Here is a 16938-nt window from a genome sequence, read left to right on the forward strand (position 1 = left end):
GTGCACCACTGAGTCATGGAGGATCCTCCATCCTCTATTCAGAAACCCCTGTGGCCTGGGAAAATTTGGCAGCATGTGGGGCACTGAAAAGCTCAGCAGATGGCTTGGCCAGGGCCACCTCTCTGCAGACCTCCAAGAAAACAGCAACGCTGAAGGCTAGGGGCTGTGCCAGCATCCTTTCTCAGTGTGACGAAAAGGGTGTTGACCCGGCTGGCTCTGGTGGTTAGGGGAGATGCCACATGGCCACATGGCTGCAGTGCTTGGGAAATTCTCTTTTTTTCCTTTATGAAGGGAGCGAAATCCAGACTTAGCCGTGTCCATCTGACTTTCTGAGACTGACAAATTGTGATCTTCACCATGTAGCAGCTCTGAGTCTGATGTGGAAACTAAATCAGGCACATAAACACATAATTACAGTACAGTGTGATAGAGTCTGTATAGTGAACATATGTTTCTTGTCTGTTCCACTGTCTTCCTTCAGAAAAGCCCAACCTCCTTCTACCTTTGCCTCTGGTTCCCAGAGGTAGATAGGCACAAGACATATGACCCAGACCTGGCTGTTCAGAAGAGCTCATCCCTCTGGCCACTGCAATTGATCAGGGAGATTAGCCCCAAACTGAGCACCAATCAGACCTTCTTCATCATATTTGATATAAAGTTTCTGGGAAAAGAAGGGTCTTTCTTTCTCTAGTACCAGAAAGAGTTATAAAAATAGAGACTTTCTGAAGCTAAAGACCACCAGAGGGAAGAGCCAAGATATGGAGAGAGAAAGGCTTCATAATGCAGTTTAAACCCCTAGATGCAGCCAAGCCTGATGCCAGAGATACCCCTTAGACTTCCGTATTTCCAGCCATAATCTAGCTTGAGCTGGGTTTCTCTCATTTGCACCCAAAACAATCCTGCCAAATGCAGAGATGGGTACCTGGAAGTGGGGTGTTGGAATTGACAGGCATTAAAATGAAAGGAAAGACAGACAACAGGTGGGACCCTGGGCGGTCAACACTGCCCCTCTTTACCTGGGATGTTAGTGGTGCCTCTTAAGTGGTAGCAAAGCAGCAGGGAAGGTTTTTCCTTGCTGTTCCTGGGACTCAACAAATTCACTTCTGTGTCTCTCCAGATATGTTGTGACAAAGTTAAAATGGGCCGACCATATTTTGCAGCCTTTATTATCCTAGAAGCTTCAGACCAAGCTGTCCCTCTACAACAGAGGGAAGGGCCTATGTAGCCTCACCAAAGAGATCATTTCTTCCTCCAGCAATCCTTGAGAAGACACAAAGTATGAGTTTTCTGTTTTGAAAGGAGATAATACTGAATTGCAGGAAAAGCAGGAACACTGGGGGAAACCTAATTTCCTAGGCCCTTACCAAAAACTTCTGGCTATGTACTCCCCGCCTTAAAAGACAAGCTCATTTTAAAGAGACAGCCCCCCTCATTACGCCAGCCCATGGTTCTAAGTGCAGGGACCAAGGGGCAAGAAGGTAAAGACATTATTCAGAGACAGAAACTCCAAAACCAGGTTGGATTTAAGGAACATGCCATAGTAGATCCCTGTTCTAATTGACTAGCCTGTTGAATTTCTAAATATCGAATAGTCTGGCCTCCCTCTGAGATTCTAAAGGTTATTTCTAGAGACTCCTCAAACCCTGCAAACAGGCTTGTCATAGATTGTTCAACTTCTAAAGTAATCTCCAGACCCCAAAGCCTGCACCAAAAGAAAATGGGATACTGCTCCCCAGCAGCTCTTCCTGAACTTAGGTAAATTCACGGGGAAGATTGCCATGGCCTCATTTTAGCCTGCCTCTGGCCCCAGCCCCAGTGCTGCATTCTCAGCAGTGAATCAGGCACTGCATTTTCATTCCCATCTGACTTATGTGTCCAATTCAGAATTGATCCACAATGTGCAAAAGAAGAAAAGTGAGTAATTAAGCTCTGCTCCAAACCCCAGCACTGAGGAGTTGGTATTTTATCCTGCAGGCCTTAAGGAACAGTGAGGGCTTATCACCAGTTTTAAGCAGGTTTAATGCAGATAAGACTTGTGGTGTGTTTTGTAAAGGTAATGGCGGCAGCAATGGTAGATTGGTAGGGAAAGGGTAGGACTGAAAATGAACCTAAAATTAGTAAGCAACAGCAATTTAAAAAATAACTAATATAGGTTTGAACTAACAGAGTTGCAATGACTATGGCATAGCATTAAGGGATACCAGAGAGTATGCAGACAATGGAAGAGGTTGCCAATATCAGAAATACAGCAAGAGGAACTCCTCCTATAAGATAGCACGAAGATTAAACTATGTAGACTGTAAATGGATGCAAGTCCCTTGTTTTGTTTTTGTTGGAGGGACGGAAGAAGCAGACAGCTGGAATTCTGTCTGAAACAGAAAGAAAGATTTTTAAGTATTAAATACTTGTTTATTTTTCACTTGAAAAGGATTTGTACTGAAAATTGTCAAGATGTATAGGTGCTCTTAAGGGATTTGGGCAACACATACACAAAAGAATGCCTTGGTTACCTACTGATATGCAGCCCATGGGCCCTTACACCTTAGCACGTGTTTGGGAGCCTCTAGGTCCACTGCACAAGGTTTTAGGCTAGAAAATGAGGCTAATTACATTCTTTCTGAGTTCCTTTTCACCTGGATGAGAGCATAGTGTGAAGTGATTCTAAAGGACTTAAGAGACAATATAAACAGATCAGAAAAACTGAAATCAAAATATATTTTAATAATTTATAAAAGCTAGAAGCGATGATTACTTGCCCAACGGAGTTGGCATCAGCCTTAGTCCTTCAACATCCCTTCCCTCACTAAGATTCTATGAAATACTGTGTTCCTCTAAATGCTATACCTTTCCTTCTTTGCCACCGCTTCACATTAATCCCTAAATAGTGTTCAATAAATGCCCATTGGTCTCTCAGGCAAATGTTGATTCAATGTGGCAATTGTAGTCCATCTATCACATAGTGTCTATGCAAGGATTGAATGAAATTTTGCAGGTTAAGAGCTTAGCTTAGTTCCTGGCATATAATAAGCACTCGCAGATGATGGCTATCTTCAACTACATATAGCATTGAAAATTGTAATTTTAGCTACAAAATAAGTTGGCAAAATGACACTTTTATTATTGTAAGTATCTGGTAACCCACCCATTTTCACTCCAGTTTCTACTTCTTTGTGCTTTGATTGCCCAAAATTAAGTATTAAAATTAAATTTATCAAAGAATTTGAAGACTTAGATGCTTACATTTTAAAAAATACCATAATGATAATCAAAATCCCACCCAAGCATTCTTTGGCTAAGTCCGAGATTGTTATTCACTAGCACAGTTATGCTCCTAATCCTTTGCAAAGAGCAAAACTTCTTTCTCATAATCAGGGCTAAGGCTTAAAGTTCTTTCCCAGAACTGCCTTGAAGTTCTTTCTTCAACTTGGCCAGCTGCACTTGAATGCGAGATTTCCGCCCTAGAAAGAATGTAGTTATGTCCAAGTGGGATGAGTCATTGAATTCTAAGCACAAAATATTTTATCTGTTTAAGAGGAGCAGTGGAGAGTTCCTTTTTTATGGTGAAACAGTGCTTGAAGCAGGCCAGGACGAAAGCCATCCCATCTCATCCCATTTCCTCTTTTCCATGCCTTGCAACTGTGAAAGGGAGGGAAGAATTGACAAGAAACTATTTGAACTCTGGCCATAGGCCACTTGGCTTTGTAGATTTACCAAGTAATCTTGGCAAATAAGAAAAAGTCCTTGAGTAATAGTATGGAACATTAAGCCCCTCAGGGATGCTCATTAAATGCTTGCTGGCTGTGTGTAGAAGTCTTAAGCCCCATCAAGTCATGCTGCCCTATTGATAACCCTAGACTACATCACACCTCCACTTTCTTTAGACTCTGTATAGGAAGTTATGACACTATTTTTGAAATTTGCAACAGTTTATTAGCACTCCAGCATTAACTATATGAAGATGAGTTTTCACTGAGTAGTTTGTTGAGAGAAGGACATTTTCAGATGGACATATGAATACGTGAATCACTCAGGTTTTCTTTTTGAAATAACATTGCTGAGAATGAGCCCATTTCATCTTGTCAATGCTCTTCTTCATATTTAATCATTGCATTTACCTTCAGAAAGGTAAAGGAGATAATATTAATTCCAGTTGATACAATCATGTAACAGGCATTTAAGGAACACCTACTATATGCAAGCTACTCTACTAGGTACTCCAGGGAATACGAAGCTGAGTAACACTCAGTCCCTGCTGTCCAGTGGCTTTTAATAGCAGAGGAAAGACAAAACAAAAGCACATATAACTACAATACAAAGTGGACTAAGAAAAGATTTTGATTGTTATGTACAAACTGATGGGAAAGCATCAAAGGATTGTTGTATGCAGGAGAGTGACATGATTATAACTGCATTTTAGAAAAATCACCCTGGCCAGGCATAGTGGCTCACACCTGTGATTTCAGCACTTTGGGAGGCCGAGGAGGACAGATCACTTGAGTTCAGGAGTTCGAGACCAGCCTGGCCAACATGGTGAAACTCCATCTCTACCAAAAATACAAAATTTAGCCAGTTGTGATGGTGTGTGCCTGTAGTCCCAGCTGCTGGGGAGGCTGAGGCAAGAGAGTCACTAGAACCTGGAAGACAGAGGTTGCAGTGAGCTGAGATTGCACCACTGTACTCCAGTCTGGGTGACAGAGCTAGACTCCATTCTCAAAAAAACAAAAAAGAAAAATCACCCTGCCAGAAGGATGATGGGATAGATTGAAAGGGAGCAAGCAAGGCAAACAGCATTAGGAAGTTTGAAGTCCCATGATCTTCAAGCTGGAGGCCCAGGAAAGCCAGTAGGTAAGTTCTAGTCCAAGGACAGGAGAAGACCTATGTCCTACCTCAAGCAGTCAAACAGAGAGGGGGTATTCAACCTTCTCCCTTTTGTGTCCTATTTGGATCTCAATGGATTAAACAATGCCCACCTACACTGAAGAGGGACATCTGTTTTATTCAACCCACTAATTCAAATGCTAATGTATTATGGAAACATGCTCACATACACACCCAAAAATAATGTTTAACCACATATCTGGGCATCCCATGGCCTAATCAAGCTGACACATAAAATTAACCATCACAGGAAGCTACTGTAATAATAGAGGTAAGATATGAAAGAGGCCTAACCTAAGGTAAAGAATACAGAGGAAATGCAGGAAATGTATTAAAAGATTTCAGTGAGGGAAAATGAATAGGCCTGGGTGGCAAATGATTGACTGATGTGTGGCAAATGATTGATTGATGGGTAGCAAGTGACTGATGAGGGATGCTGAAGGAATATGAGATAGAGCCAAGACCTCTACCTTTGGCAGCAGGGTGGGCTCACTGCAGGAGAGCATGGCAGAGATGCAGAAAGGCATCTGGGTGAGGCCGATAGGAGCACTAGAAGTGCTCAGGGAACAAGGACAGCACTCTGATGGAGAGTGGGGTATACATAGTAGGAGGATGGCAGAGGAGGTTGGAAGAGGAAGCTGAGCACCTGCAATGGTCAAGTTTTGGAGTTAACTTAACCCGATTAAGGGATACCTAGTTAGCTGGTAAAGCATTGCTTCTGAGGGTGTCTGTGAGGGTGTTTCTGAAGGAGATTGGCATGTGAGTCTGTGAACCGAGTGGGTAAGATCCCCCCTCAATGTAGGCGGGCACCATCTGATTAGTTAGGGGTCCAAGTGGAACAAAAAAATGGAGGAGGGGCAAATATTTTCTTTCTCCTGCAGATCCAGGATGTCCCTCTCCTGCCCTTGGGCATCAGAACTCCACATTCTCTGGCTTTTCGACTCCAGGATTCACACAGGTGACCCTGGGTACTCAAGCCTTCAGCCTCAAACTGAGAATTATACCATCAGCATCCCTGGTTATGAGGTTTTAGGCTGAGCCACACTATCTACCTCCCTGGTTCTCCAGCTTGCAGAGGGCCTGTGTTGGTACTTCTCAGCCTTCATAATGATGTGAACCAATTCCCCCAGTAAATCCCTTCTCACATGTATATATGTATAGGTTCTATCTCTCTGGAAAACTCTGACTATTACAGCACTTTGAATGCCAAGCACAGAGGTTAGACTTTAATTCAGTGAGCAATGGAGAGGCTTTTAAGCCATAGAACAATGTGATTGAAGCTGTTCTTTTGGAAAATTAATCTGATCAATGAAGAGGCCTAGATTCCAAAAGGTTAATTGCTAAGACACCTAGTTAGTGCAGAGATGGGACTAAAATGGAAGTCTTCAGACTCCTGGCCTATTTTGTGCAATGAGGAAGAACATTGCCTACTTCATAGAATTCTAAATATGTATTCCTCTCTCCAATAAGTCTTCCTCCCTTACTGAATTCCACAGCCTTCATGCTTATATTGGGCCAGACATTTAGCACACAAAGAGAATGGATGGATGCTTCCAGTATTTTTTTATTAATGCCCAAAGAGCCCAATTCTATGTTGTTCCAATCATAATGTTCAAAAAATACCTGCTAAATGTAGATAAAGGCAATGGTTTTGTAAGACTCCTTCAAAGGTGGAATCTACTAGGAGTAAAATAAAAATAAAATTTAAAATTACTTAAAAATAATAAATTGGCTTACAAATACAAATTAGCATTATTAAGACAACAATATTAAGAATTATATTTTACTGAAGTTTTTTTCTGTGATAAGAGTTATTTCATACATGAGTTTATTTTGTCTTCATAAATACCTATTTGATATATGAGAAAACTGAGTCTTAGAAAGGTTAAGTAACTTACTCAATACCACACAGTAAATGGTAGAGTTAGGATTTAACCCCAAATCCAACTCCAGAATCCCAGCCCTTAAGAAGTCTGCTATTCTGCCCTTCAGAATGATTTTCTTGAGAAGGTTCAAAAGAAGCTAAGGCGAAAGCAGCAAATTTTATTTTTTATAAAGGCAATAAACAGTGATTTTCTTGCAGCTGTGTAGGCCATTATAGCAAACAGTTGTCTTTTACTCAGCGCCCCAGAGAGAACCTACCAACTCAAATTGCAACTCCCAATTGCAACTGAACTATCTGGGAAGAACAACAAGTTCCTAACACACCGGAAATAAAGACTGGGGAAGAGTACAGAATGAGAGGAGAGGGAACTGCCATTAACCTCACTTATTTTAAATAGCACTTAGATGAACAAAAACAATCAGGAAATTAAAATAAACCCAATTCTAATCTGTATGTGTGCTTTGTGCATTTGCATGCTTATGTGTATGTATGTACTCACAAAGAATGCGAGGGAAATACTGGAAAACCAAACAACTAAATTCAACAAAAAGCAGTGGCCTTACCTGTTAACTTCTGAGCTATTTTTGTGACATGAAATGCTGCATTTTGGCACTTTTTGTTTCGTGAAGGCCCTTGGGTAGATTTTTTATGAATGTCATTATTCGCCAAAGTGAATTTAGTAGAGAAAACCCCAAGGGAGCAAGATGATGAGTTTTTTAAACAAACATTTTGTAATATAATTTTACATTAACATCTCTCTTTATCGTGTCTATTCATGACCAGACAGTGAATTTTAAATCAGCTCCTTTTGTAATCCATCTCGAGAAGAATGAAGATGGAACTTGATGAAAGGAAAGGCCCACAGGGGAGGAATTCCAATGCTGGGCTAAGCATTTATGTGAGTGGAGAAAGAACTATGTGAAAGAAGAACCGTTAAAAAAAAAAAAAAAACATGATTGAAGCAATATGTGGAGAAGGGAATGAGAAAGAGGCAATTTGACAAAAGAAAATAAAAATGACGTGATTAGAGCATGTGAAAATTAATTTTTTTCTAGTACTGATTCTTCAATTTTTTCCAACATATTGACCTATATTCTCAATTTCACAGTATTATCTAGATTATATCACAGTGTTGGACTATTGTGATATCAAATGCGGTAGCTATTCAGTGATGCAATTGGTTGCAAAGCAATTAATTACATATGACAACTCCAAAATAAATTAGTGTTCATTCAGAGTAAGAGTGGAGGCTGAAGTAAAGGATAAGAATGAAAGAAAAAGGATAAGGAACAGGGGAAAGGAACCACTCATAAACACAAGAAATGGTTTCTTATTCAACAAGGTGTCTGTTTAAATTTTATGTCTAAGTTGCTAAAAGCAGAAAAAAAACTGAAATAGTTTAAGAAGGAAGAAGTAGTGAATCTCAAAGATGTTGTTGCTGTAGGTATTTAGAACTAAGAAGTTACACAGTATAATATACCATGAAAGTAAATGTATTTAATAAGAGAAGAAATGGAAAATACCAAATAAAGCAACGTAATAATTTCAATAATGCACTGACTCTTAAAATGTTGTAAGTCTACATGAAGACTTGAGGGCAGCTGGTTCCAGAATATCCAAACCTGAAACAAAATTATTTATTGACATGACAGAATTATCTGAGATCATATGAACATTGTTTATCATATATTTTATAAGTGAGACAAAGGTCTTTAACAGAAAAATGAATTTTTAGACTCAGTAAGTCAAACAAGTTGTTGAAGAAAATAAAAAAGGCATAGGTCTAGGATAACCAACAATATTACCAGAAATCATTTATAATAACTCTCATTTCCTGATTTTTCTAGAAATAGTAGTTTTACACTAGAAAACTTGTAAGGATTTACCTCAAACAATTGTGTAAAAATCCGCATTTCTCCAGATAGTAGTGATTTCAAACCAAGCAAAACTTATTCCCGTTTAACTTTTTTTTTACCAGGCTCAGAAAAGGAGATGCTATGATCCATCTTGAAAACGCCCATGAGTCAATTCTAAACAACCTTGAAAGATTATCTTTCAGACTCTAACAGGAGACCAACATAAATAAAATTATCCACTTTTAGAAAAAGACATTTTTTTCTAAATATTATTGTCTTTTGAAATTATATTAACATGCTGCATTCTTCTTCTGATTAAAAAATACATATTAAATTACAATGTAGCCTATTTTGCTGAAACCAGAAATTGTTTAGATCAAGTAAAGAGACCAGCTGGTCCAAAGAGGAGCCTGTGAGAGACCCAGACAAGCATCACCCTGGCTCCAAGGAGACATCAAATCAGATAGCAGCAACGAAGTGACTGTCCTGCCTGGTGAATCACCATAGCTCATCTGTGTCTGGAAATGGCAATGCAAGAGTAACTTACACTCACTTGCATTATTGATAGCTGGATCTTCAGACCTAGACTTGGAAAAGGCTTTCCACTACTGTATTAATGGATTCTTGCACTGCTATAAAGAAGTACCTGAGATTAGGTAATTTATATATAATATATATATATATATTTTTAACTTGTGGTAAGAGCCATCTACTCAAATCTAAGAGTTAGTGAGTTTTAATGTTTCTTTTTTTTTTTTTTTGTTTTTTTATTATACTTTAAGTTCTAGGGTACATGTGCACAATGTGCAGGTTTGTTACATATGTATACATGTGCCATGTTGGTGTGCTGCACCCATTAACTCGTCATTTACGTTAGGTATGTCTCCTGATGCTATCCCTCTCCCTCCCCCAACCCCATTTATATTTTTTTTAAAAAAGAGGTTTAATTGGCTTATGGTTATGCAGGCTGTATAAGCATAGTGGCATCTGCTTCTGGGAAGGCCTCAGGAAGCTTCCAATCATGGCAGAAGGAGAAAGCAGAGCAGGGAAATCACACGACAAAAGCAGGAGCAAGAAAGAGAGAACATGGCAGGAAGGTGCTACACACTTTTAAATGACCACATCTCATGAGAACTCACTCACTATCACAACAACAGCAGCAAGAAGCTGGTGCTAAACCATTCATGAGAAATGCATCACCATGATCCAAGCACCTCCCACCAGGCTTCACCTCCAACAGTGGGGATTACAATTCAACATGAGATCTGGGCAGGGAAAAATACACAAACTGGACAACAACTGAGCTTCTCTGTAAGAGAGAAGATGAAAGACTAAGAGAAGTCTCCCTCCCTTCTTAATGCGCCTAAAGACTGCAGCGTGGAAGTCATGGAAAAGACAAGAGTTTGTACCCAGTAGAAGTCACAGCCAGTAACAGCAGTGTCCCCTTCGGAATCCTTCACATCTCCTTTTGCACTCTGCCTCCTTTAAAGTTCTACCCCAGATCTCCCCACCGACAATTAATACATAATTACTGTGTATCTACTACGTGCCTGGGAATAGGCTGTCACTGAATATAGTATAAAAGCATTTTTGCTCAGCTTGCCACATAAAAACTCACCAAAAAAATCTAAAACTGTACAGATAGAACGTCTCCTACTTCAGTGAAATACAGAAACTGTCACAACCACAAGCCGCACACTATAAGGCCAACCTAGGAGGTACTGTGCGAGGATTGATTTAAGAAGCCTACCTAGGGGCCAGCTCCTCAGACCCTAGGCAGAATGAAGACATCTCCTACAATAAGGGAGCCAGTAATCTTTGAACTGAAACCTTGAATTCTTGTCGTGAGGACGATCATGGGAGAGGCAGAAAATGTTCTTGAACAGTCACAATGCAACATCACAAAACCAAGGAGAGCAGAGTGAGCTATAGGAGAAAGCAGGACATCTTATCTTTTCTTGGGATGATCCAGCCTCTTATCTAAGGGAAAAAGCCAGGGGAAGAACTGAGTGGAGGGAGGAAATGAAACAGCGGTGAGCAGAGAACAACAAGCCTGTGATCCCAATGGCTTTGCTGTTAGCTATGCTATCTTCTGGTTCCTGAAAAGCAAAGGGATATTGTTCCCCCAGGCAAAAGGAGGATAGATTTGATGAAGGGAGAAAGTTCTCAAGACAAGAAACTCTAAGGAGGCCAATGGATATATATGGCTCATTCACCACTACTACCACCTCCATGTTGGCATCACCCCAGCACTACCTCTACACACACACGCATACACACACGCGCATACACACACACACATACACACACACATATACAGACACACCAGTGACAGAAGTAAGGTCAGGCAAGAAAGAAGCCTAGGGAAATCCTAAAAGTGAGTTGCCTCCTTAAATTCTGCACCCCAGGAGCCTTGTTTTTGCTTCACCTTAATCTCTCTCTGTCCTGACATACACAAACATTCCTATTTGTCAATAAACAATGGGTCCCATTCAAAAATGACGAATTCATATAGGAAAGGGAAAAGATGAAGATAAGAGACAAATAGCTCTCCCTGGTCTCGTAGAAAAAAACAGGTAAAATTAGACTACCAAATATTGGGCCTGGACCAACCTCTTACACCAAGGAGTTGAGGTCATCCCCACTCAAACTTTTCAGACTAAAACTTGCAGGGGGAGAAGGAAACTCCCTAAAGAGATACTAGGAAAACAAATGACAACCTTGGTTTTCATAACTTTAGTTAACTGTTAGTATTATGAAAGAAGTACTTCTCCAGGTATTGACTGCCATAGAGCAAATAAAATACACTTCATATTTTTTGAGTTTAGAGAGGATAGTAACTGAAATTAAAATCTGAAGTTGAAGTTGCCTTAGCTAATAGCAACTAAATTTACTGAGCAGCTACTATGTGCAAGGTAATATGTGATACTTGTACCATCTCAGATATCTTCATTAAAATCCTATAAGATAGGCATCATTTTTTTATTTTGAAAAGAGAGAATTGAGGCCCTAGGTAGTTATTTAATGTCATGCCAGCCACCTACTGACTCCAATAGGGATAGCACTGTGTCTGAGAAGCCAAAGAAGAGACTTGGTGACAGGGAATGATATACAGAGTTTATTGGGGGCACTTACACACAGGGATAGTACAGTGGCAGCAGGCTGGATGAGAGAACCACTACCATTTGTAAAAACCATACAATTTATATAGCATTTTCACATAGCAACCTCCACCTAGCAACCTCCATTTAACCCAAAACAAGGGCCTCCCAATCCCCTGTATGACCTATATTCCAAAGAATGGGCAAGGGGTTCAATTGTCCTTCATAGATAAGATCAATGTCTGGATTGGCCACTCCCAGATTCCTTAGCTCAGAATTCTGAACCAACGCTCTGCTTAGACCATAGGGTCGTCCTCATGGTATCCTTCAGTTACAGCTGTCAGGTGCCTCTGCCATACATTTTATTGGACAATTTCATACAACTAAAAAATAGTGGCACTGAAATTTGAATTCAGGTCACAAATTCTTAATAATTAAAAGATTAAGGATTCAGGGTAGGGTTTGGAGCCCATATCCTGTCTGTCTTTTGGAAAGTAAGAAACCTACAAGGTCCTAAAAAATGGCACAAACACCCAAATGAAAACCTAAATGGAGATTAGCATCACCCTCCTTAGAGGCTGGCAAGTGGAGCCAGAGGAGAATCTTTTGCAAACATGTGGGAGAACTAAACTGAAGTCTGAAGGTCACTGGGGTTTCCTCTCCTTCTCTGAATCAAGACTTTGGAGTCTACCCTAGAGTGAGGTTAGATAAACAACTCAGAACCTTGACTAGCTGCTGGGCGCAGGGTCATGGGTCAGCCTCACACAATCAGACACTGATGCAATGGCAAGAGCAAGAGAAAAATGGCTCTCTTTCCTTCTAGAAATCTTCTGCAGACCCATTTCCAGGCCCATGCTTACCTCACAGGAAAACAGAAGTGAAGAAAGCCCTGACTCTCTTACCAACATATGTCACAGATAGGAGAAAGGGGCCATGCCACAAAATACAGGGACCCTGATCCCACAGACCAGTCTACTCAGGACCAGTAGGCTTCCCAACAATCATATTAGCTACTTTCTTTCACTTGGAGCATCCTTAGTAAGGAGTAGAGAGAAGCCAGAAGTTCCCTTCATAAGCCTTCCCCCATAGGGAACAAGTGTTGGAAGGCAGAAGTGTGGGCACACATTTGTTCCTTTTTCTACAAGCTAAAGCAGGAGCATGTAGCTGGCAGGAGAAAGTTTCTCTCCTGCACTGGGAAGAAAGCATGTGAGTTGGCAGGTTCAGAGCCCCCTGAGATGGGGGATGGGAAGACCCTGTTGGTGGCCCGCCATATCCCCTCCACCCATGCAGAAAGTAACTATGTACTATTCTTGTTTAAATGCCTTTCTATATCTCTTCACCTGTGTAGGCAATCTCTGACAGTGGGAAAGGGTTGGCAGGCTAGAAATTGCCCCAGAAGGAACCCTCAGTTAATGAAGGGTAGGAATTGGTGGATAAACACAGAGCAATAGGAGGGTTCTGAAATGTGTTCCATAGTCTTTCAGAAGGTCCCTAGAAGGATGAAGCTCCAATTGCTCACAGCAGTAGCCCACTCGTTATCACACTTTGTAGTGTTTTTTTTCCCTTCTTGTTTCTCTTCTGCCACAGTCTTGCAGTGCTTCCTGGGATCACATCCCAAAGAAACTGCTTGTACGCAAACCCTTGACACAAGTTCATTTTTGGGTGGAGGTCACCATGAGAAATGACCTTCCAGGAGGGAGATATCACTTCCACACTGCTACCCCAAGCCTTCTTCATTACAAGTGAGAGAGCTGCTTAACCTGAGTCAATAGAAGGTCAAGCAAGTCGTTACACTGTCTGGCTGCAGGGCTTAACCAAGTTTCAATGGGCGTTGTCACCAGGTACCACAGGTGAAGCTTTAGGATGAGGTGGCATTATGGCTTGAAGGTCTCCAGCCTTCTACCACCTTAGTAAGAGGAGAAGTATCCAGGTAGTGGCAATGGTAGGAAGTCTAGTGTTTCAATATACTCTCATGAAAAAGAGAAGTGACAAATTCTCAAAAGAAATCTTATGGACTTGAAAGGCAAGTTGTAGAAACTTTATGTTTCATCCAAGCCCAGATAGTCAATGAATAAGTTCAGAAACTTATAGTCCATATTTTTTTTCTAAATAATAGGATCACAGTTTTCTACTTGGCATAACAATAATACTTAATTTCAGGGTTGTGACAAATAAATGAGATTGCAGTCTTAGCCCAGTGCCTGACACAATGTTAGCATTCAACAAGTGAAACTTCTCTTTCCACTTCCATAAATGTGAGTATCCTTCCACCTCCCCAAGAAACTGGGATTTATGTTGGTCTGCAACTCAGCCTGAATATATTATTCACAGATGTTTTATTATTGTCACTATCAGTTTTTAAGGACCACCTCTAGGTTCTTGTGTTTCAAATAAAATTTTGTTGAAATGAAAACCAAAATAAGTCCTGTCGTTTTTTTAAAGACTTCTTAAGCTTTCTGATTTCTAGTAACATGAAATTCTAGGTAAAAAGCTATCTTTAACCAATTTTTAAAAATCAAGTCTACTGTGATTGATCCAGCTGTTTCCTCAGTTGAAACAAGGAACATCAGAAGTGCCTACTTCTAGAGCTTGGAGAGTAGGGGTAAGCCAGATAATGCATCTTTCACCAAAGGAAAGCTCCACTTCACAGAGAAGACTAGGCACAGCAAGAAGAGGTGCTGACTTCTATTTTACATGAGATATAATTATTTCCATTGCTTCTCCTCTTATTTAGTGAAGACAGACTTGTGTTCCTATAAGTCAATCTCATTTGCTAAGTCTAGTTCTTTGCTTTGTTAGCATCCAAAGAACATTTATTTTTCCTTTCCTATTTACATGTTTCAAATTCCCATCCTGCAATGATTTCTCCCCTCTCTGCACATTCATGTATTTCTCACACTGTTTCTCTCTCTCCCAAGACCATTCTGCCCTTTCTTTTCTTCCTATTAGCTTGCTACACCAAAGCCATTACAGGAACAGGCTGTCTCTATAATGCCTTACTGAAAATGCAGTGAAAACCTCCACAGCAGCTGTGTCCCTGGATGAGACACAATGTCCCAACTGATGTTTTCATATTCAGTCCACACTGTGCTCAGGGCCTCACTAAGAGGGTGTGCAAGCTTTCATAAGTGTGTTCTTTAATGGCCGACACAAATATGTTTACTCTTCACTCTTCCCACTTCTCTAAAATTAACAAGAGGAAAACTCTTGTGATGCTAGTAGAAGAATAATATAGGCCTGGGTAATAATAAATCAATTTCCTCATCATTTCACCAAATGAAATATTCAGCCCCGACTGGGCGTGGTGGCTCATGCTTGTAATCCCCACACTTTGGGAGGCTGAGGCTGGTGAATCACCTGAGGTTGGGAGTTCGAGACCAGCCTGGCCAACATGGTGAAATCTTGTCTCTACTAAAAATACAAAAATAGCCCGGCATGGTGATGGGCGTCTGTAATCCCAGCTACTTGGGAGGCTGAGGCAGGAGAATCACTTGAACCAGGAAGGCGGAGGTTGCAGTGAGCTGAGATCATGCCACTGCACTCGAGCCTGGGCAAGGGAGAAAGACTTCATCTCAAAAAAAAAAAAGAAAGAAAGAAAAGAAAGAAAGAAATATTCAGCCCCAAGTTGCTGAGCCCAGTCTGGGTGGTGCTCCTCCCAGGCTCCCGGAAGCCCCACTCCATAGGTGCAGGCTTACAGACTTCCCTAACAACTGCTGCAGGCCACAACCTCAAACTCACAGCAAACAGGAAGCAGGAGGTGCTGTCACATGTAACACAGTCAGAGCTTCAAGCCCCCGGAAAAGCTCAATGCCAGATTTCATTCTCTGCCCCTGATGATGCCCCGCACTTTCTTAACTATGCAGCTCAGAATCTCTCTGTTTCTCACGCAGAGACCAAGGACACCATCTGCCCTACACTCACCCCAGGAAAGCATTGTTGGTAACATTCCTGAAATTTAGTCATCCAACCTCTGCTAGACTATTTCTAGAAGGCAGCAAACCCAGCAGGCCTTCAGGGACAATGTGGACAGAGTCTGCTCCCTCTTTCACATCTCATTTTGTCTCCTCTTCTGCAAGCTAAACTACCCTGGCTCCTTCCCTCCTTCTCAGTTTAACACATCTTGTAGATTCTTCTCTTAGTTTCTCTACTGTTAGCACACTTGAGTTTCAAAGCTGCTTTCAAAATCAAGGGTGCTCACCACTCCAGCTAACATTATTGATACAATGTTACAGATGTATTATTATTTGTCACTGGTCTCCATCATGATAGGCAAATGCCACGGGCTTTAGGAGTGATTATTTAATATTCCTCATTACATACTAGAATACCTATTGGCTACTATTTAGCTGCTTCTTCCTGTTGCATTTTTTTTCAAAGAATTGAGAAGGAGAATGAGACCAAAAAACAAACAAACAAAAAAGCACATCTATTTTCCTGCAAAATCAAAACATACCTTATAAATGTCAAACTATTTTCCAGATTTTTAAATCTGATATGACACCATTACTGAAAAGAATTATCAGCAAGAACTAAAGAGCAATGCAAATGAATTCAACAAGGACTGGAGGAAAATGCATATTAAAATACAAGGAAAGTCTATGTGACACAACGGGCCAAACATTAAGGAAGATCACACTGAGTGTTGCTAAACGTGGGAGCCAAACTGTTTTTACATTTTGATTATGTGTCCATAGATAACATGCACCCATGGAAGTAGATATTAAGAAAGCAGGAAACTCAGGCTAGGGTACTTCCCATATGAAGTGGGCAAGTACTAGACATTGGGAGGTCATTGTGTTTTAGAATCACTGCACAGCAAGCTGAGAAAAAAGAAGGAGAAATAGAAGGAAGGCAAGGAGAGAAGGAAGGAAAAGAGGAAGGATTAAATCAGCAACAGAACAAACCATGCCTAGGTGCCTCATGCAACTACTGTTTCTGCCAAAAGAATAGAAAATGATGAGTGCTTTATTTTCAATAACCCATCTAACAATAATCTCTGTTGTTTAGCCACTGGGATGATTTACACGGGAATTAGCAGAAACCCTCCCCATCCATGTTATCTGCTGTGGATTTGCAAAAGGAACTTAATATAAATATTCTAAAATGAGAATGCTGTAAGAAACATAACCTATGCACACCCAAACCTACCATCGAACATAGAGAAATATAAAAAAGAATTATTCTCCCCCGATTTCAGAGTATGCCTAGTTTGGTATGA

General features: G+C 40.7%; 1 long non-coding RNA gene across 5 annotated transcripts in view; it reads right to left on the bottom strand.

Annotated features, from left to right (window-relative positions):
• Positions 1-3907: 3907 nt before the first annotated feature.
• LOC105370265 (uncharacterized) overlaps positions 3908-16938 on the bottom strand; it is a 94000-nt gene continuing 80969 nt past the window's right edge. For 4 of the 5 annotated variants that reach the window (XR_001749923.2, XR_001749925.2, XR_942096.3 and 1 more), the window contains 2 exons: positions 6502-6558; positions 3908-4115 (listed from right to left, as the gene is read on the bottom strand). This is a non-coding gene — a long non-coding RNA (uncharacterized LOC105370265). The other variant, XR_001749927.1, reaches the window with a different exon arrangement.

This window comes from Homo sapiens, chromosome 13 (genome assembly GCF_000001405.40).
Source record: "Homo sapiens chromosome 13, GRCh38.p14 Primary Assembly".
NCBI classification, from domain to species: domain Eukaryota; kingdom Metazoa; phylum Chordata; class Mammalia; order Primates; family Hominidae; genus Homo; species Homo sapiens.